General features: G+C 34.8%; 1 long non-coding RNA gene across 1 annotated transcript in view; it reads left to right on the forward strand.

The window, feature by feature from the left end:
* Nucleotides 1-19,476, forward strand: part of LOC105374552 (uncharacterized) — a 71,889-nt gene extending 52,413 nt beyond the window's left edge. Inside the window, exons 2-3 of the long non-coding RNA XR_001741500.1 lie at nt 9,893-10,042; nt 19,321-19,476. This is a non-coding gene — a long non-coding RNA (uncharacterized LOC105374552). The remainder of the gene's footprint in view (nt 1-9,892; nt 10,043-19,320) is intronic.
* Nucleotides 19,477-21,097: the final 1,621 nt, after the last annotated feature.

The following is a 21,097-nucleotide window of genomic DNA, read 5'->3' on the forward strand; positions in this document are numbered from 1 at the left end:
AAACACTTCCATTAGATAAAAGACCTAAAATGATTATGAAAAATGTTCTTTTTCTTCCAAATTGCTCTAAATCAAACACTCAGTAGTATAATATGTTTTAGGTTAATTAGTTTAATCCAGTTTTAATTAAACTGATGTTTCCATGCCAACAAATGGTTTTTAAATTGTTGAAATCTTGATGTTTTGGAATATGACTAAAATTAATTACCTAAGAGCATTTGACTCAATTTTTGGAAATGTGTAGTGCACTTTTAGCATCAATATAGCAATGATTTTAATAATGGCAACAAATTATGATTAAAAACTTTGACTAAATGTTCTATATGGTTTCCATTAATTTCCATATTTTTAAATGTATTTTTTATGATGCACATATACTACTCAGATTAAATATAATTTAACAACGACAACAACAAAAAATTAGTTACAGAGACACCAACACAGGCACACACATGTCAACTCACTATTAGCCCTAAATAAGCCCCATTTCAAAATGTTCAAAGTCTATTTCCTGGTAATATTTGTCTGTGTCTGTACATTCAACTAGAATATTAAGATCAATAACAAAATACGTGGTTTTGGCCTAATTTTAAAATTTCAATTCTCTCACTGAGCTGCTTAAAACTGAAGAAAAATTCTCAATATGAGATAAGGAAAATCATGACTCACCAATGCTAGGAATAGTGATATACCAGCTGAATAAAAATTGTATTTACATTTAAGAATTTAATTTTTATATTTGCATTGCTTTTTCTTGGAATCGCCTTATTTTTGCCAGGACCAAGTTGGCAAATAAAAATTATCTTACTTATTTCAACAGAGATCATTTAATACAGGGAACTTGTTACATAGGTATTAGAGACCTGAATACATAAAGGGAACCTTGAGTAACTCAGAGATAATAATTGCAGGAACTAGCTCTCATCTCTAGGGCTGGAGAAGAAAGGAATGAAATTAGCATTAAGTGAACATTAGAAGCTCAGATGAGGGTCCCCACATAGCTGGGGCTCAAAACTCAGAGAAAACAGTGTCACCTGGCTGCTGTTAGTACCTCTGAGAGGATGATACGTACTTGGTTCTGGAAGATGCTAGAGGCTGAAATCAAATGACAATGCTTTAGCAAATGGCTGCTGCTGGGCTGAAATGTTGCTTCTCATAGGGAACCTCGCCGGAATCAGAGCACAAAACAAGAGAACATCCCTTCTTGCCTTTGCCTTCTTTTCAGTCTCCTCTCTGCCTTCTATTGCCTAAATCTAATGAGGTTACCGCTAGTTAAAACGAAACAAACAAACAAAAACCCTATGGTTTGTATAGTGTCAGCCATAGCATCACAGAGTGATGGCAAATGTAATTAAAGGATGAATTTGAAGCTGTAAAACGACAGGGAAATGACCAGCATATTTAAATCATAATTTCATTTTCTTAGCTGGTCTGTTAACTTATCTCTTGCATTAAATGCTTCTGTATTCTTCCTAGACGTTTCCAGTTTGCTTACAATTGTGATATCCTTCTAATTTTCCACTTTACATTGAAGTCCTTGGTCTTTCTCATCGAATCAGTGTTTCATAGGCCACCCTTCTATTTCATCAGGTGTTTCTAAACATAAAGGTATTCCAGTATTTTCTATCTTGGAACTGCAGTCTATCTCAAATTCTAAAATACAACTGAACTCCCCCAGTTGAAATGATGAGACAGGGAAAGCAGATTTACAGAGGAAAACATCATGACATTTATACTTATCAGAAATCAGGAATGAGAAGCAAAAAAAAAAATATTGAACACAAACTATGGGTGAGGCATGGTTGCTAGGTTACCTCTCTGATTTGACGAGGTATGTGACAAAACATTTAAATTAAAATTTAATTTAAAATTTAAATATCTTCAATTTTAACATAAGGGAAATAGTACACATACTGCTCAAGGAGAATTATGAAAGTGAAGTAAAATCAAAGTGTAGAACTATGTTGTAAACACTAGGAACCCAATAGAAGTGACAGGTGCACAAAAGCTTCTGTAGAATTGGTACTCAATCTGAAACAATTAACACGGAGTTACTCACCTGGAAAAAAAAAAAAACCAACTGATTGTCAAATCAATGCCTGGAATTTAGCATATCTGCTGTTGTGACTTTCAGTTTGACTTTCATATTTAAGGTCGTACTTTCTTTGTGGTAACTTTGATGTGTGGCCCACTTCAATTTACAAAGCCACATAGCTTCACATTTTAGCGCAGTTTCCGTCCAGATGACAATGACCTACACTTAGAGGTGTTGTCCAGGAAATCTTGAAGTGAATTTTGCACATACTGTAAGAATCTATTTAACTTAGATTTCTCCAAGCATACCATGAGAATTAGGTGAGAGTTCACCTGGCCATTTTTACCTGATAGAGAAATAAACATTCAAATAATATCTGATTTGTTAATATTGATTATGATTTTTAGAGGAGAAAAAAACCTAGTAGATATTGAGGGGAGGAGAATAAGGGATTAATAGAAGGGAAGAAATAAAATAGTGTAGCTTAATAATAGAATCTTTCCTTGGCATTTTTTATAAACCATTGTAGATGGCAACTTCCAAAATAAGAAATCCTGTGACTATTTTTCATGAAGCCTAATGATATTTAATAGTTATTTGGGAAGAAAGATAAACTTCAACATTGTACACAAGTTACACACTTGTCCCTAAGTTCTGTGTCATAGCAATAGTGTTAACTTCTGTAGGAATAATAATTAAATGGTCAGGATAAAGAAGAAATCCAGAGAACTTGATTTTAGGGGGAAAAAAACAACTTTATCTCCACATTGCAATTTTTGAGTGCTAAAATGGAGACAGCCACATGAAGGCACTTGGCATGGGTCACTGGTAAAGCATGCTCATAAGAAAAGATAAGATTAATGTGCTTACTTAAGAGAAGCCTCTCATCTGCAGTGGGCCTGAATATTAATGAACCTTCAGCTTTGCTTTCTTCATGGGAATATGTTTGCTTGAACAGTTAATTCCACCAGAAATGTAACTTGCATCCTGATTGGTGAGACACTAAAGCGCTAAGTCAGGGCCATTGCTCTCAATGGAAGCCTTGTCTAAAAAGAAACCACAAAATAGGACAGTGAATATTTGAGAGGGGCTTATGTATAACCACTTCAGGAATAAGCTGACACATGCCCACAACAAAATTCAGAGTCAAAAATAGAGTCAGATCAGCATTATGCTAAGTCAAATCACTGCAGTGAAATGAGAATAAATAACAATGTGTTTGGAACAAGATGACTTTAGGGAATCATGGTTTTAGTGAATTGCTCCAGATCACAAAGGCATTTTCATATCATAAATTATGAAATTTAAGTCAAAATATAAGAGCATGTAGAAGTAGAAAAATAATATCTCATATATGAAACACTATGAATTTCCTTATTTTGATTATACAAAAATAAGATTATATTTGAATTTAATTGGTGACCTACATATTACCATATTTAAAAAGCCAACTGACGGCAATATCTATTTACTGAGGGAAAAATAAATTAAAATATACTTAATATATTTCCTGTATAAGCCTTTTATAATTGAGAAAAAAGTATTTTTTCTCTAGACCTTTATAAAACAAACAAACAAAAAAACAACCACAAATACTTCATGTATCTGCTAAGAGGTATAGAGAGTTTCTTGGACAATTGAAGTATAATAGTAAACATTACCTTAGAAACTGCATGGATCAACTCTGGTTTGAACCAGTCCTTGCAAAAATATACTCCAAAGAATGTTAGGACTAAAAGGTGCTTTAAATGCACACATACACACTGAAGTTGTTTAGGATTTATATTTTATCTCCCCTTCATAGAGACTTAAAAATGAAAATTAACATTTAGTCCCTGTAAATTCCTAAAGAAGTGTTTAATTTTTTTATTAATTCAGCATTCCAATTTTGCAATGAAAATATTTTTCTCTTAACATCTATTAATATCTGCATTTTTAGTATTAAATGTCATACCTGTTAAGAAAAACCAGTTTAACTATTTAGGAGATGGAGTTCTCTAGACTCTCCTGGAAAACCTCACAAGTAGTGGTCTTACATGATCGTCTGGAAGCCCATCTCATGAATTCATTTGTTTATTTATTTTAACTTTTATTTTAAGTTGAGGGATACATGTGCAGGTTTGTTACATAGGTAAACTTGTGTTGTGGGAGTTTGTTCATCTCTTGATTTTATAGCCACTCTCCTCATTTTAAATTTACTTCGTTTAGTTTTCCACAGGTTGAGAAATAATGTACTTTTCTCCCAATTTTATATTCCTCCATATACTTCCTACCCCTTCAGAGTCAGATACATGGTAACAAAAATGTTCACAGAAGTCATCTTAAAAGCTTATAATCAGGCCGGGTGTGGTGGCTCAGGAATTTAATCCTAGCATTTTGGGAGGCTGAGGTGGCTGGACAACTTGAGGTCAGGAGTTAGAGACCAGCCTGGCCAACATAGTGAAACCCTGTCTCTATCTACTACTACTACTACTACTAATAAAAAATAGCCGTGTATGATAGTGTGTGCCTGTAATCCCAGCTACTCAGGAGGCTGAGGTAGGAGAATCGCTTGAACCCAGGAGGAGGAGGTTGCAGTGAGCCAAGATTGCGCCACTGTACTCCAGCCTAGACAGCAGAGTGAGACTCCATCTCAAATAATAATAATAACAATAACTTATGAGCATTTTTAATTGAAAGTTGTATTGAGATAATCTAATAAGAAATAACACAGAGAAATCCTACATGTATTTTACCTATATACATTTTGTAAAACTATGATGTAATTCCACAACGAGGGTATTTTCATCCACAAAATCCTTCAACGTATTCATATTTCCTTACTTTCTTGTACTCATATGTATGCATTTAGTTCTATACAACTTTATTAAATGTGTCGGTTCAAGCATGTGCTACTATGGTCAAGATATCGAATAGTTCCATTGCCATGAGACCCTTCCTTTTGTCCTTTCATAATCACATCCACCTCTATCCAGCCCTTCCAAATTGTGTGTATGAAATATTTGACCATTTTTATTGTGAGTTGGTGCAAGATATGCACCTACTTCAGAATTTTTATCATTCATCATTTGAAGAATATCTGGACTGATGCCAGATTTGGGCCATTATAAATGCAACTTCTTTGAATAGTGTACAGATATATGTATTAAAAATATTTTGATTTCTCTAGCATAAATGCTAATGATAATCACTTTTCCTTTTCTTTTTCCTTCCCCCTCTTCCTTTATCTTCCCTCACCTTCCTTTCCCTCCCCTTACCTTCTCCTCCCCTCCGCTCCCCTCTCCTCTCCTCTCCTTTTCTTTCCTTTCTTTTCTTTTCCCTTCCCCTCCTCTCCCCACCCCTCCCCTCCTTTCCCCTCCCCTTCCCTCCCCTCCCCTCCCTTCCCCTTCCCTTCCATTTCCTTTTTTCCCCTTTCTTCCTCCCTTGCCTCGTTTCTTTCTTTTTTATTAATAAACTGCTGACAGATTTTGTTTTCTCTCAGAATGGCTATAACGTTTTCCATTCCCATCAGCATTGCATGAATGACTTAGTTTGTGCAGATCCCTGCCATAATGTATTACTGCCACACTTTTGTTGTTGCTGTTATTCTGCTGGTAGGTAGGGATACCTCATTGTGTCTTTAATTTGCACTTTCCTAATGGCTAATGATTTCCAACATATTTTCATGTGCTTATTTTTGACATCTGTATATTGTCTTTAGTATATAGTAAATGTCTGTTCATGTTCTTTGCCCCCTCATTTGTTATTTTGGTTAATTGATATATTTACTCTTGAGTTTTAAAAGTTCTTTGTATATTCTAGATATATCCTGTGATAAATAAGTATTTTCCAAATATTTTCTCCCTGTGTGTAGTTGTCTTTTCATCCTCTTTGTATGGGCTTTTACATAGCAAATTTTATTTTTGATGAGATTCAATTTATGAATTTTTTATGGACTGTGTCTTTGGTGTCAATTCTCACAACCCTTTGCCTAACGCTAGGTTCTAAAGATTGTCTCCTATGATTTTTCTAACACTTTATACTTACGCATTTTAAATTCAATATTATGATCAATTTCGAGTTGATTTTCATATAAAGTTTGATGTGTAAGTAAAGGTTAACGTCAAGGTTTTTTGTTTATGGATGTCCAATTACCTTGGCATCATATGATGAAAAATCTATTCTTCCTTATTTGAATTTCTTTTGCACTTGTGTCAAAAGTCAATTGGGCACATTCCTGTGGGTCTATTTCTAGGATCTGTCTTCTGTCTCACTGACCTATGTGCTTATTTCTCTGGTAATACTATAATGGTTTGATTACTGTAGGTCTCTAGTAAGTTGTAAGATAAGATAAAATAATTCCTCTCATTTTATTCTTCTTTGTAAAGGTAGTTTTAAATACTTTAAGGCCTGTGCTTTTGCATGTAAATTTTAGAATAAGCTTGTGGAGGTCTACAAATTAATCTACCTGGGATATTAAACTATAGATCATTTTTAAGAATATTGATGTCTTTTTTGTTTTCATCCATAAATACACTACGCCTCTCCATTTACTTAGGTTTTCTTTGATTTTATTCACCAGCATTTTCTAATTTTTAGCACAAAAATCGTATACATGTTTTGGCAAATACATTACCTGTGTATTTCATTTTCCTTAGAGTAGTTTTTTATGGTTTTGTGTTTTAGTTTCATTTTCCAAGTGCTCCTTGTCAGTAAGTAGAAATGTAATCAATTTTAGTGTGCTGACCTTATATTCTGCAAATTTTCTGAGCTCATTTATTATTTTAAAAATTTCTTTTGTGTATTTTGTTTTACATGCTTTTGGATTTTTGCATAGATAATAATGTCATCTGCAAACAGAGACTGTTTTCTCCTTTCTAATCAGTATGCTATTTTCTCGACTTGCCTTATTGCAGAAGTTAGAATTTTCAGTATTATGTGAACAAGAGTGGTAAGAGCAGACACACTTGCCTTGTTCTTGATCTTAGGGGAAAATGTTCGTTTTTTTAACCACTAGGTAAAGTGTTACTTGGCAGATATTTGTAGGTAGCCCTTATCAATTTGAGGAAATTTCTCTATAATCATAACTTACTGAGAATAGTTATCATAATAGGTATTGAATTTTGTTAAATGTATTTATTGAATTAATTGATGTTTGTTCTTTAGCTTTTTGACATTGATGTGAAATAGATTGATTTTTAAATACTGAAGCATTCTTGTATTTCTGGCATGGTTATGTTATCCATGTAACAAAATTGCACTTGTATCTCTTATAGTTAGACAAAAATTAAAACTCTATTTATATATTGCTGAATTATATTTACTAATATTTTGCTAACAATGGTTGTGTCTCAGTTCTTGATAAATATTTTTCTATAGCTTTATTTTATTTTTTTGTACTCCTTTGGTTTGGGTATCAGTGTAATCCTAGCTTCATATGCTGAATTGAGAAATATTTCTTCCCTCCTATTCCACTCTTCATTAATTGTTAGATTGAGTTTGCCAATGAAACCCACTTGGTTAAAGATTTGTATTTTGTAAAATTATAAATACAATGATTGTAATAGTTATAGGAATATATAATGATTCACAGTAGCCCCTTATCATTCTTTTAGTGACTGCAGTATCTGTAGTGAATCCCCTGTATAATTTCAAATTTTGGTAATTTGCATGCTTATGTCTTATCTATTTCTCAATGTTTAGTCAGTGTTGCTCAAATGTTACCAATTTTATTGATTTTTTGAAGAAATAACTTTTTGTTTCATTGTTTTTCTCTATTACTTTTCCAGTTTTAATTACATTGATCTGCCCTATCCTTGTTTATTCCTTTAATCTGTTTAATTTGGTTTCATTTTACTCTTCTTTTTCTACTTTGGATGTTAAGCTAGATTATTGATTTGACTCTTTTTCTAATTTCTAGTTGATTGTTCTATAATTTTTTTCCTCAGGACAGATTTGGCTGCATTTCATATGCCTTTATAAGTTGTGTTTTCAATTTCATTTTATTTCTCTGTATTTTTTATTTCCTTTGAGATTTTCTTACCTACAGAATATTTAGTGTGTTTAATTTCCACGTGTTTAGAAATTTTCCTGTTTTCTTCAAGTTACTGACTTTTATTTTGATCCTATTGTGACCAGGGAACATGCTGTATATGTATAATTTCAATTCTTTTAAATTTGTTGAAGTTTGTTTTATGGTTCAGATACAACTTATTTTAGGAAATGGTCCACATGTACTTGAAAAAAAAGGTGTATTATGCTGTTTCAGGTGGATGAATCTACATATGTCTGTTGGATTCAACTTGTTGATTGTGTAGTTCAGTTCTTCCATATCTTGCTGATTTTCTTTTTTTTTTTCCCCCTTTGGTTGCTAAGAGAGGGGTGTTGAAGTCCCCAGCCATAACTTGGTTTGTCTGCTTTTCTTTCATCATTTTGATTCGTTTAATTGTCGTATTTTGAGGCTCTGTTGTTAGTTGTTTAAATATGTAGGATCATTAGGTCTTCCTGGTGTGCTTATTTTATCTTTATGTAATGTCTCTCTTTGTTGCTAGTCATTTCTTTACTGTGTACTCGACTTCATCAGATATTAAATATCACCACTCCTACTATTTCTGGATTCATGTTTTCATGGTATGTTTTTCCCATCCTTGCTTTCAACCTGCTTATATTATTAAATTTGAAACTTATTTCTTTTTAGCAACACATAATTGTCCCCTCCCCTTTTCTGTTATTAATTTTCATAATCTCTGACTTTTAACTGGAATATTTAGATCATTTACATTTAAGGTAAGTGATGTGTTAGTACTCGAGTATGCCATTTGATCATTTTTGCTTACTATTTCAGTCCTCTGGTTCATATTTCACTGTTTCTTGTTTCTTGCCTTCCTGTGGTTTAACTTGAATACTTTAAATATTCCATCTTGATTTATTTATAATGTTTCTGAGCGCATGTCTTTGAAATTTTCTATATTTGTTGCTCTGGGTATTATAGTATATGTTTGTGACTTATAACATTCTACTGGTATCAGCATTTCACTACTTTGAGTGAAGTGTGGAAACATCACTTTTGTTTGGGTAACTTTACCTTCCCACCTTTTAAAGTCCATTTTCTTGAGTATGAGATGGTGTTTTTTTTTTTTTTTAATCATCAAGTATGTGTTACAAAACTCATGAAGAGAAAGATAGACCTATGTATTCATTCTGCTCTTTTCCTTACTCTTCTCACCTGATTCTCCAAACATTTTATACATATTAAGTATTAAGATTTAGGGATATTCCTGTCCAGAAATAAATAATTGGCCTACGTTATCTCATTATCATTCTATCAGTACTTCTCTGAAGTAATACATATGAAGCACATAAAACGGTGTCTAACACATAGAGATTAGTAAAATGTATGTCTCCAGGTTTAGCTTCTGTTCACTATTTGACCTTCTTTACCACATTTCATTTTTATGCATTTTATATCACCAATATTAAGCCATGTTCTAATATACAATTATGTCATACTTTTCAATGTCATGTTTATATAAATTGTTTTTATATTCTACAAATCTTTTCCCATCTGACAATTTCTTTCTCATCTTTCAAGATGATGTAAGTGTCACACCATTTGTCTTAATATAGGTAGTACCTCTCAGAGCAATCCACATCAGGCAACAGAGTGAAGCAGATGTAACAGAAGTTTAACCATTTCACTGTACTGTGAGACAGCTCTGATGGGCAATACTAGAACTTCCCACTGGGTTGATTAATGATTTGTTGATGCTGCAAAGAATTTTGATTTCTTGATCTTACAAATTTTGTTTTCTTTTTCTACCTTTTATAGATGTTGATCTCTAATAAACATCTTGCACCCCTAACAACTTCTGTTTCCAGAGGGCCCAAACTGTGACAAAGAATGTCATAAGTGCAGCGAAGTGATTTGCATTTTATGCAGTGAAACCAGGTGTGCGAAACAACTAGTACATCAGAAAATTCAGCAATCCAGAATTCCGGTTTTTCAGAAAAGGGCAAGAGCAGGGCCAGGTAAGCATGATGAGTACATGAGGGCTCAGGAATCAAACCAGGTTCTAAAGCCTAAACATGATCTCTACAATCTCCCAGGTAGTATGATTCCAATATGTTTCACCCATCCTCTGATGATAGTAACGTTGGTAGGATAAGAATAGACAAAAAATTAAAAAAAAATCAAATTTACCTAAAAAAGAGCATTTAGACAGAAAGTATAGTTAACTATGAACTGTCTGGCAAAAAAATAAGTTACAAATACAAATATAAGTAAGCCACTGATGAGTCTGCCTATGGTGAGCATGCCTGTCTTTGGATGAGGACAATTAAGGTCAGGCAGGAATGGGTACTAAGGAATAATAAATATTTTTTTCAGTCTGTTTGAAAATGACATTTTATAAAATGTTAGGTTTTTTTTTTTTCTTAAACAGCACAAATTTATTTTCTCATAGTACTGGAGGCTAAAAGTCCAATATCAAGGTCTGGAACATATGGTTTCCTCTGAGGCCTCTCTCTTTGACTTGCAGATGGGTGCTTTCTTATGGCCTGACATCGTCCTTCTCTCTGTGCATACATACCCCAGTATCTCTTTGTTTGCCTAAATTTTCCCTTTTTTAAGTACACAAATCAGATTGAATTAGGGGCCCACCCTTTCAACTTAACTTTAATTTAATCACCCCTTTAAAAATCTTATCTCCAAATACAGTCACATTCTGGAATATTGAGGGTTTGGGCTTCAACATATAGTTAGGTGAGACACAATTCAACTCATAACACAATCTATTTAGAGATCACTTTTCTTCCATGCCTCTTGGTTACTGGACATTAGACTTTAGCTAGAATACACAACACGCAACACAAGAAGTAATACGAAATATGTCTTTTCATGTTTTAGTAATATATCAGAATTTTCTGATCAATAATCTTATTATTTTAATGAATGTAGAAATGACAAATATAATGTAACCTTAGTGTTAGTGATGAGGGCTATTTCAGATTAGACCACTAAATTGATATATAATGTGTTATAATGTATAATGTGTTATGAATACCTTTATTTATTTAACTTCGTAATTTACCAGTGCCAATTTACACAATGCAAGCCATTGTAGAAGAAAATACCATTCTAAGTCAAAGGTTTAGGAATTATAACATTCAATGCTAGCAAACACAGATTTTATTCAATACTAGCAAAATAGCTGCTGATCGATACTTTTTTTAACTTTTAAGTTCAGGGGTACATGTGCAGGTTTGTTACATAAGTAAACTTTTGTCATGGGGGTTTGTTGTACAGATTATTTCATCACTGAGGTATTAGACCTAGTATTCATGAGTTATTTTTCCTAATCCTCTCCTCGTCCCATTCTCCAAAATATCCTAGTGTGTATTGTTCCCCTCTATGTGTCCACGTGTTCTCATCATTTAGCTCCCACTTGTAAGTGAGAACATATGGTATTTGGTTTTCTGTCCCTGCATTAGCTTGCAAAGGATAATGGCCTCCAGCTCCATCCATGTCCCTGCAAATGACATAATCTTGTTCTTTTTTATGGCTACATAGTATTCCATCATATATATGTACCACATTTTCTTTATCCAGCCTATCATTGGTGGACACTTATGTTGATTCTATGTCTTTGCTATTGTGAATAGTGCTGCAATGAACATACGTGTGCATGTGTCTTTATAATACAACAATTTATATTCCTTCAGGTATGTACCCAGTAATGGGATTGCTGGATTGAATGGTACTTCTGTCTTTAGGTCTTTGAGGAATCATCACACTTTCAAATGGCTGAACTAATTTACACTCCTACCAATAGTGTATAATTGTTCCTTTATCTCCACAACCCCTCCAGCATTTGTATTTTTTGACTTTTTAATAGCCTTTCTGACTTCTGAGAGATATTAGCTCATGATGGTTTTGATTTGCATTTCCCTAATGATCAGTGATGTTGATCTTTTTTTCGTATGATTGTTGGCTGTGTTTAGGTCTTCTCTTAAGAAATGTCTGTGCATATTCATTGCACACTTTTTAATGGGGATGCTTTTGTTGCAATTGCTTTTGGCATTTTTGTCATGAAATATTTTTCCATGCCTATATCCTGAATGGCTCATGGATAGGAAGAATCCATATTGTTATAATGGCCATACTGCCCAAAGAAAATTATAGATTCAACGCTATTATTTTTAAACTACCACTGACATTCCTCACAGAACTAGAAAAAAACCATTTTAAAATTAATATGGAACCAAAAAAGAGCTCAAATAGCCAAAGCAATACTAAGCAAAAAGAACAAAACTGGAGGCATCATGCTAATCAACTTCAAACTGTACTACATGGCTGCAGTAACCATGTAGATCACGATCTGATTTTCAACAAACTTGACAAAAACAAGCAATAGGAAAAGGACTCCATATTCACTAAATGATGCTGAGATAAACTGGCTAGCAATGTGCAGAAGATTGAAATGACCCTTCCTTTCATCACATATAAAAATTAACTCAGGACGGATTAAAGACTTAAATGTACAACCCAAAAGTATAAAATGTTAATCAGCATATTGATTGCATATATGGGAAGAAATAAGATGCAATTTTAATCACCATGTTGTTAAGGTAGCATTTTGGATAAAGAGGAAGAAAAATCCACTAATGTTTAAAATAAGTGCAAAATGAAATAGACTTTAGCATTTGTTTGGAATAGATGTAAGGGAAGAAGAAGCATCATATGTTGGGGTTATAAAACAAAAATAGGAAAGTTAATGATGAGAGTTGTCATGAAATAGAGAAGTGGATGAAATCACTTGTTATTAAAGCATATATATTATTATTATTTTTTATTTCAATAGGTTTTTGGGAAGCAGGTGGTGTTTACTTACATGAACAAGTACTTTAGTGGTGATTTCTGAGATTATGGTGCACCCATCACCCAAGCAGTGTACACTGTACCCAATGTGTAGTCTTTTACCCCTCACCACCCCCCACATTTTCCTCTTAGTTCCCAAATTCCAATGTATCATTTTTATGCCTTTGCATCCTCATAACTTAGCTCCTACTTATAAGTGAGAACACATGATGTTTGGTTTTCCATTCCTAAGTTACTTCACTTAGAACAATAGTCTCCAATTCCATCTTGGTTTCTGTGAATGCCATTATTACATTCCTTTTTATGGCTGAGCAGTATTCCATGGTGTATATATCTTTATCCATTTGTTGATTGATGGGCGTTTGGGCTGGTTCCATATTTTTGCAACTGCAATTTGTGCTGCTATAAACATGCATGGCAAGTATCTTTTTTGTATAATGACTTATTTCACTCTGGGTAGATACCTAGTAGTAAGATTGCTGGATGAAAAGGTAGATCTTTTTTTAATTCTTATAGGAATCTCCACACCCTGTTTTCCATAGTGTTCATACTAGTTTACATTTTCACCAACAGTGTAAAAGTGTTCCCTTTTCGCCACATCAACACATCTATTTTTTTTTAACTTTTTGATTACGGCAATTCTTGCAGGGGTGAGGTGGTATTGCATTGTGGTTTTGACTTGCATTTCCCTGATAATTAGTGATCTTGAACATATTTCCATGTTCTTGTTGGCCATTTGTATATCTTCTTTTGAGAATTGTCTATTCATGTATTTAGGCCACTTTTTGATGGGATTGATTGCTTTTTCTTGCTGATTTGAGTTCCTTGTAGATTCTGGATATTAGTCCTTTGTCAAATGTATAGATTGTGAAGATTTTCTCCCACTCTGTGGGTTGTCTGTTAACTCTGCTGATTATTTCTTTTACTGTGCAAAAGTTTTTTAGTTTAATTAGCTCCCATCTATTTATCTTTGTTTTTGTTGCATTTGCTTTGGGTTCTTGATCATGAAGTCTTTGCCTAAGCCAGTGTCTAGAAGGGTTTTTCCAATGTTATCTTCTAGAATCTTCATGGTTTCAGGTCTTAGATTTAAGTCTTTGATCCACTTTGAGTTAATTTTTGTATAAGGTGAGAGACGAAGATCCAGTTTCATTCTCCTACGTGTGGCTAGCCAATTATCCCATCACCATTTTTTGAATAGGGTGTCCTTCCCTCACTTTGTGTTTTTGTTTGCCTTGTCAAAGATCAGCTAGCTGTAAGTAAGTGGCATTATTTTGGGGTTCTCTATTCCATTTCATTGGTTTATGTGCCAATTTTTATGCCAGTATTGTGCTGTTTGGGTGACTATGGATTTATAGTATAGTTTGAAGTTGGGCAATGCGATGTCTCCAAATTTGTTCCTTTTGCTTAGTCTTGCTATGGCTATCTGGGCTCTTTTTTTGGTTCCATATGAATTTTAGTTCTTTTTCCTAGTTCTGTGAAGAATGATGGTGGTATTTCAATTGGAACTGCACTGAATTTGTGGATTCCTTTGGCAGTATGATCATTTTCACAATATTGATTTTGTCCATCCATGAGCATGGGATGTATTTCCATTTGTTTGTGTTGTCTGTGATTTCTTTCAGCACTGTTTTGTAGTTTTCCTTGTAGAGGTCTTTTACATCCTTAGTTAGGTATGTTCCTAAAGATTTTTTGTTTGTTTGTTTTGTTTTTTCTGCAGCTATTGTGAAAGAGGTTGATTTCTTGATTTGATTCTCAGCTTGGTCGCTGTTGATGTACAGCAGAGCTACTGATTTATGTACATAAGTTTTGTATCCTGCAACTTTGCTGAATTCATTTATCAGTTCTAGTACCTTTTTCGATGAGTCTTTTGGGTTTTCTATGTTTATAATTATATAATCAGCAAACAGCGACAGTTTGACTTCCTCTTTAATGATTTGAATGCTTTTTCTTTCTTTCTCTTATCTGATTTCTCTGGCTAGGACTTCTAGTACTACAATGAATAGAAGTGGTGAAAGAAGGCATCCTTGACTTGTTCCAGTTCTCAGGGGGAAAGCTTTCAATTTTTCCCCATTAAGTATATTGTTGGCAGTGAGTTTGTCATGGATGGCTTTTATTACCTTAAGGTGTGTTTCTTCTATGCTGATTTTGCTGAGGATTTTAATCATAAAGGGATGCTGGGTTTTGTCAAATGCTTTTTCTGTATTTATTGAGATGATCATGTGATTTTTATTTTTAATTCTGTTTATATGGTGTATCACATTTATTGACTTGTGTATGTTAACATCCATTCATCCCTAGTATGAAACCCACTTGATCATGGTGGACAATCATTGATATGCTATTGGATTTGTTTCACTAGCATTTTGTTGAGGATTTTTACATCTATCTTCATTAGGGATATTGGTTTGTAGCTTCCTTTTTTTGTTATGTCCTTCCCTGGTTTTGGTACTAGGGTGATACTGGCTTCACAGAATGATTTAAGAAGGATTCCCTCTTTTGCTATCTTTTGACATAGTATCAATAGGATTGGTGACAATTTTTCTTTGAATGCTGGATAGAATTCAGCTGTGAATCTTTCTAGTCCTGGACATTATTTCATTGGCAATTTTTTTATTACCATTTCAATCTCAAGGTTTGTTATTGATCTGTTCAGATATTCTATATTTTCCTGGCTTAATCTAGGAGGATTTTATATTTCCAGGAATTTATCCATCTCCTCTAGGCCTTCTGGTTTATACATGTAAGATTGTTTATAGTAGACTTGAATACTCTTTTGTATTTCTGTTGTTTTAGCTGTAATATCACCCATTTCATTTGTAAATGAGCTTATTTGGATCTTCTCTTCTTTTTCCCTTTGTTAATCTTGCTATTGTTCTATCGATTTTATTTATCTTTTCAAAGAACCAACTTTTTGCTTCAATTATCTTTTTTATTTGTTTATTTCAATTCCATTTAGTTGTGTTTAGGTCTTTGTTATTTCTTTTCTTCTATGGAGTTGGGATTTGGACTGTTCTTGTTTCTGCAGTTCCATGAGGTGTGACCTTAGATTGTCTGTCTGTGGTCTTTCAGACTTTTTGATGTAGGCATTTTATGCTATGAACTTTCCTCTTAGCTCCATTGTTGCTGAATCCCAGAGGTTTTGATAGGTTGTGTCACTATTGTCATTCAGTTCAAAGAATTTTTAAATTTTCATCTTGATTTCATTGTTGATCCATTGATCATTCAAGAGCAGGTTATTTAATTTCCATGTATTTGCATGGTTTTCAGGGTTCCTTTTGGAGCTGATTTCCAATTTTATTCCACTGTGGTCTGAGAAAATACTTGACATAATTTCGATTTTCTTGAATTTACTGAGACTTGTTTTGCAGCCTATCAAAAAGTCTATCTTGGAGGATGTCCTATGCGCTGATGAATAGAATGTATATTCTGCAGTTGTTGGGGAGAATGTTCTGTAAATATCTGCTAAGTCTACTTGTTGAGCGGCATAGTTTAAGTCCATTGTTTCTTTGTTGACTTTCTGTCTTGATGGGCTGTCTAGTGCAGTCACTGCAGTATTAAAGTCCCCAACTATTATTGTGTTGCCATCTATCTCATTTCCTAGGTCCAGTAATAATTGTTTTATAAATTTTGGAGCTCCAGTATTAGGTGCATATATATTTAGAATTGTAGAATTTTACTGTTAGTCATTTTATCATTATATAATATTCCTCTTTGTCTTTTTTAACAGCTGCTGCTTTAAAATTTGTTATGTCTCATAGACGAATAGCTACTCCTGCTCACTTTTGGTGTCTGTTTGCATGGAATACCTTTTTCCACCAATTTACCTTAAGTATATGTGAGTCCTTATGTGTTAGGTGAATCTCCTGAAGACAGCAGAAACTTGGTTGGTGAATTCTTATCCATTTTGCCATTCTGTATCTTTTAAGTGAAATATTTAGGCCATTTACATTCAATGTTAGTATTGAGATGTGAGGTATTAGTCTATTCATCATGTTATTTGTTGCCTAAATACCTTGTTTTTTAAAAAAAAAATTAATTGTTTTCTTGCTATATAGGTCCACTGAGATTTATGCTTTAAGGAAGTTCTATTTTGGTGTATCTTTAGAATTTGTTTCAAGAATTAGAACTCTTTTTAATAGCTCTCACAGTGCTGGCTTGGTAGTGGCAGATTCTCTTAGCATTTGTTTGTCTGGAAAAGACTGTATCTTTCCTTCATTTATGAAGCTCAGTTCTGCTGGATACAAAATTATTGGCTGATAATTGTTTTGTTTAAGGAGGCTAAAAATAGGACCCTAATCTTTTCTGGTTTGGAGGGTTTCTGCTGAGACATCTGCTGTTAATCTGACAGGTTTTCCTTTATAGATTACCTAATGCTTTTGTCTCACAGCTCTTAAGATTCTTTCCTTCATCTTGACTTTAGGTAACCTGATGATTATGTGCCTAGGCAATGATCTTTTTGTGATGAATTTCTCAGGTGTTCTTTGAGCTTCTTATATTTGAATGCCTAGATCTCTAACAAGACCAAAGAAGTTTTCCTCAATTATTCCCTCAAATATGTTTTCCAAACTTTTAGATTAATCTTATTCCTCAGGAACTCCAGTTTTTCTTTGGTTTGTTCATTTAACAGAATCCCAAACTTCTTGGAGGCTTCGTTCACATTGTTTTTATTTTTTGTCTTTTCTGGATTGGATTAATGTGAAAGCTTTGTCTTTGAGCTCTGAAATTTTTTCCTCTGTTTGTTTTATTCTATTGCTGAGACTTGCAGTGCATTTTTCAATTCTCTTAGTGTGTCCTTGATTTCCAGAGTTGTGATTGTTTTTTGTTTATGCTATCTATTTCACTGAAGAATTTCTCTTTCAAGTCAGTTTTTGATTTCTTTAAGTTGGACTTCACCTTTCTCAGGTGCCTCCTTGATTAGCTTAAGTATTGACCTTCTGAGCTCTTTTTCTGACAATTCAGGGATTCCTTCTTTGTTTGGATCCATTGCTGGTAGGCTTGTATAATAACCTTGTTTTGTCACATTACCAGAATTGTTTTTCTGGTTCTTTCTTATTTGGGTAGACTACATCAGAGGGAAGATATGGGATTCAAGGGCTCCTGTTCAGATTCTTTTGTCCCATGTTGTGCTCCCTTGATGTGATATTCTCCCCCTTCCTCTAGGAATGGGGTTCCCTGGAAGCCAAACTGTAGTTATTGTTTTTATCTTTCTGGGTCTAGCCACCCAGTGGAGCTACCAGGCTCCAAGCTGGTACTGGGGAGTGTCTGCAAAGAGTCCTATGATATGATCCATCTTCAGGTCTTCCACCAGCACCAGCTCCCATGGAGATAGCAGAGGAATGAAGTGGACTCTGTGAGGGTCCTTGATTGTGTTTTTGTTTAATGTGCTGGTTTTGTGTTGGTTGGCCTCAGCCAGGAGGTGGCGCTTTTAAGACCTCATCAGCTATGGTCCTACAGGGAAGATGCAAATTTGCCCTAGGGAAACCTGGTTAAGTATTCAGGTTTCTCAGGCGGTTGACAGGGCCATAGAACCCTCAAGAGATTACGACCTTTGTCTTCAGCTACCAGGGTGGGTAGAGAAAGACCACCGAATGGGTGCTGGGATGGGCATGGCTGAGCTCAGCCTCTTTTTGAGTGGGGCTTTCTGCAGCTCCTGTGGGAGATGGGGGTGTGGTTCCCAGTCCAATGCAGTTATATTGCCAGGGGCAGTATGGCTGTCTCTGCTGAGTCACACAGGTCACCAGAGAAGTGGGAGAAAGCCACAGTCACAGGGCTTACCCTGCTCCCACACAGCCCACCATCCTACAGGCTGGTCTGACTCCCACCGTGCCCCTCGTTTCAACAGCACTGAATCTATTTCCAGTCAGCCAGTGACCAGGCCTGAGTACTTGCCCCAGACTATAAGCCTCCCCATTGAGAAAGCAAACCAACTCACAGTTTTTTGGTGTCTCAGGGAGCCTAGTTCCTTCAAAGGGTCTGTGGATTTTCTTGGCTTTCCTTGTATGATCCTAAGGTAGTACTTGGAGCAAAAGTTCATGATGTGAGTCTCCACTTGCTGCTCTGTCCATCTGAGCAGGAGCTGCAAGCTAGTCCTGCCTCCTATCTGCCGTCTTCTCACTCACTCCATACATATTATTTTTAACTCATCTCTGTAGGATGTAGCCCAGAGTCCTGAATGTATTAAGTACTCAACAAATAAATATATATGTTACAATAACATTGATACATCCAAGCCGAGACATCTAGTTAAGGTTTAATATATGGTTGTTATTAATGTAATATATTAGCAGTTTGAGCTAGAAGTAGACAGAAGTAGTTGTTCATGTCATTACAGAGATAACTGCTTCTTTCACTTTTTCTCCTCTTGCCTTTCCTCCTTTTCTTTTCCTTCTGTTTTCCCACCCTTTTCTTCCTTCTTCTTCTTTTATTTTAGAGAGAGGACTAAAATAATGAAGACCAGAACTAGACAAGTTATCAAGACGTACTAATTCCTTAGTTGATAAAGAACCTGTGCAAGAGACAGTGATACATCAGAGAGAGAAAAACATTAAGCACTGAGAGGGGACAAACTGATGGATTCCATGGCAAAGTTTCCTGACACAATTCACCTCCAGAAATGTTAATGTTACTTAGTAGAAAAAAATAAAATTCTCCATGTTTAAAAATAAGATTCAACTTAAACGACCCTATTAATGATGAAGAAAATTGTCTTTAAAATGGAAGTGTATTAACCTCTGTGAGGTCTAGAGAATACCTGGGGCCCATATAACATAAGTCAGAATTTTTTAACATTATAAACCAAGATTAGTTATTAAAAATATGTTTTATCTTTTTACCCTGACAAATATGTCAGTAGAAGTCTTGAAACTGAGCACAAGTGTAGACAGATCGCCACTCAGAAATGGTGATGCAAGGACCGCTGGTTTGCACCTCCTGGCTTAAGATTCCACCTATCTTCTCTTCCTACTCCCAATTTCTGCAGTTACACACTTTGACCCACATTCCAAGTTTCTGTCACAGCCTCAGAGAAACAACCATCCCCTGGCCACTCTTGCTATCCATGAGGTTACCACGTTCATGGTGTGCCTTTGGGGGAAGGGAGCTTGAGATAATGCCCACTGAATTACTGGAAGGAGGCTTAAGGCTATTTAAACCAGACATGCAAGATCCTGGGCATTTAGAACAAGAAAGGTTTAGGGATGGGGTGCATAAAGGCTCTGAGTGAGCAAGGACCCTTTGTTCCATGGCCTGCTAACTGTGTGGTAAGTAGGAGCATGGCTAAAATAGGGCCAGAGTGGGGTTATTTTGTCTGAGTCTATGGGCAGCCTATGTGCCAATATACAAGTAAAATCTATACCACAGTTTGACTCTGTTATCCTATATACAGAATTTAGTTAGTGAATAAAATCTTTCTTCTTCTACATTCAAAAGTTTTGAATACAATTAGAACATAGAATATAATGGTTTTAAGAAGTAAATGTGTGCCCAGTTCCTTTGGCAAAATTTTGGGCCAGCTCAGCCCCTGTTCCCAGTGGGAATTACACAGATCTATTGAGAAAGTTCTCTAAACCATCTGGAGTGTTACAATGGCATTTACTTTCCTCTAATTTGCTCTCAGTGTGCCACTCAACTTTTTCTGTTCTCGAAGGACATCCCTGAGTTTTAAATTGGCTGTTTTCTTTATTTATTATCAAAGACTAACATTAAGACAACACAGAAAATAATGTTGCATTTCAAAGCAACAGCTGTGCTGGTTTCAACAGTGCTTTATTAAAAGTCTCTAAGTTGTGTACCACATTGAGTTTTTAACTTTCAGAGAACAACACCAATTTTTATCCACTTCACCAGATTTTTAATGAGCAGTTTCTCCCCTGATGTCTGTGTCAGAGGGTGGAGAGGTATGGTTTTTCGTTTCCGGCTGTTTCAATTTAGGAGATAATCATTATTTTGTGTACTCTAACATCACCAATAAATCTGATTAGGGAAAATTCTGACACAAGAAATGGCTGAGTTGACATTGATTTTTAAAAGACATTGATAATTACTCTAGATTGATAAACCTCATCTGTTTCAACAACAGATGCTTTCCACTAGAAGTCCCACACCATAATTTATCTTCATTTTTCCTGCTGTATTTTTTACCCATCATCCTGTACATTCTGGAGCATGTAGGAATAAATAATCTCCTACAGAACAAAGGGAAGAACAGC

This window comes from Homo sapiens, chromosome 4 (assembly GCF_000001405.40).
Source record: "Homo sapiens chromosome 4, GRCh38.p14 Primary Assembly".
Lineage (NCBI taxonomy): Eukaryota > Metazoa > Chordata > Mammalia > Primates > Hominidae > Homo > Homo sapiens.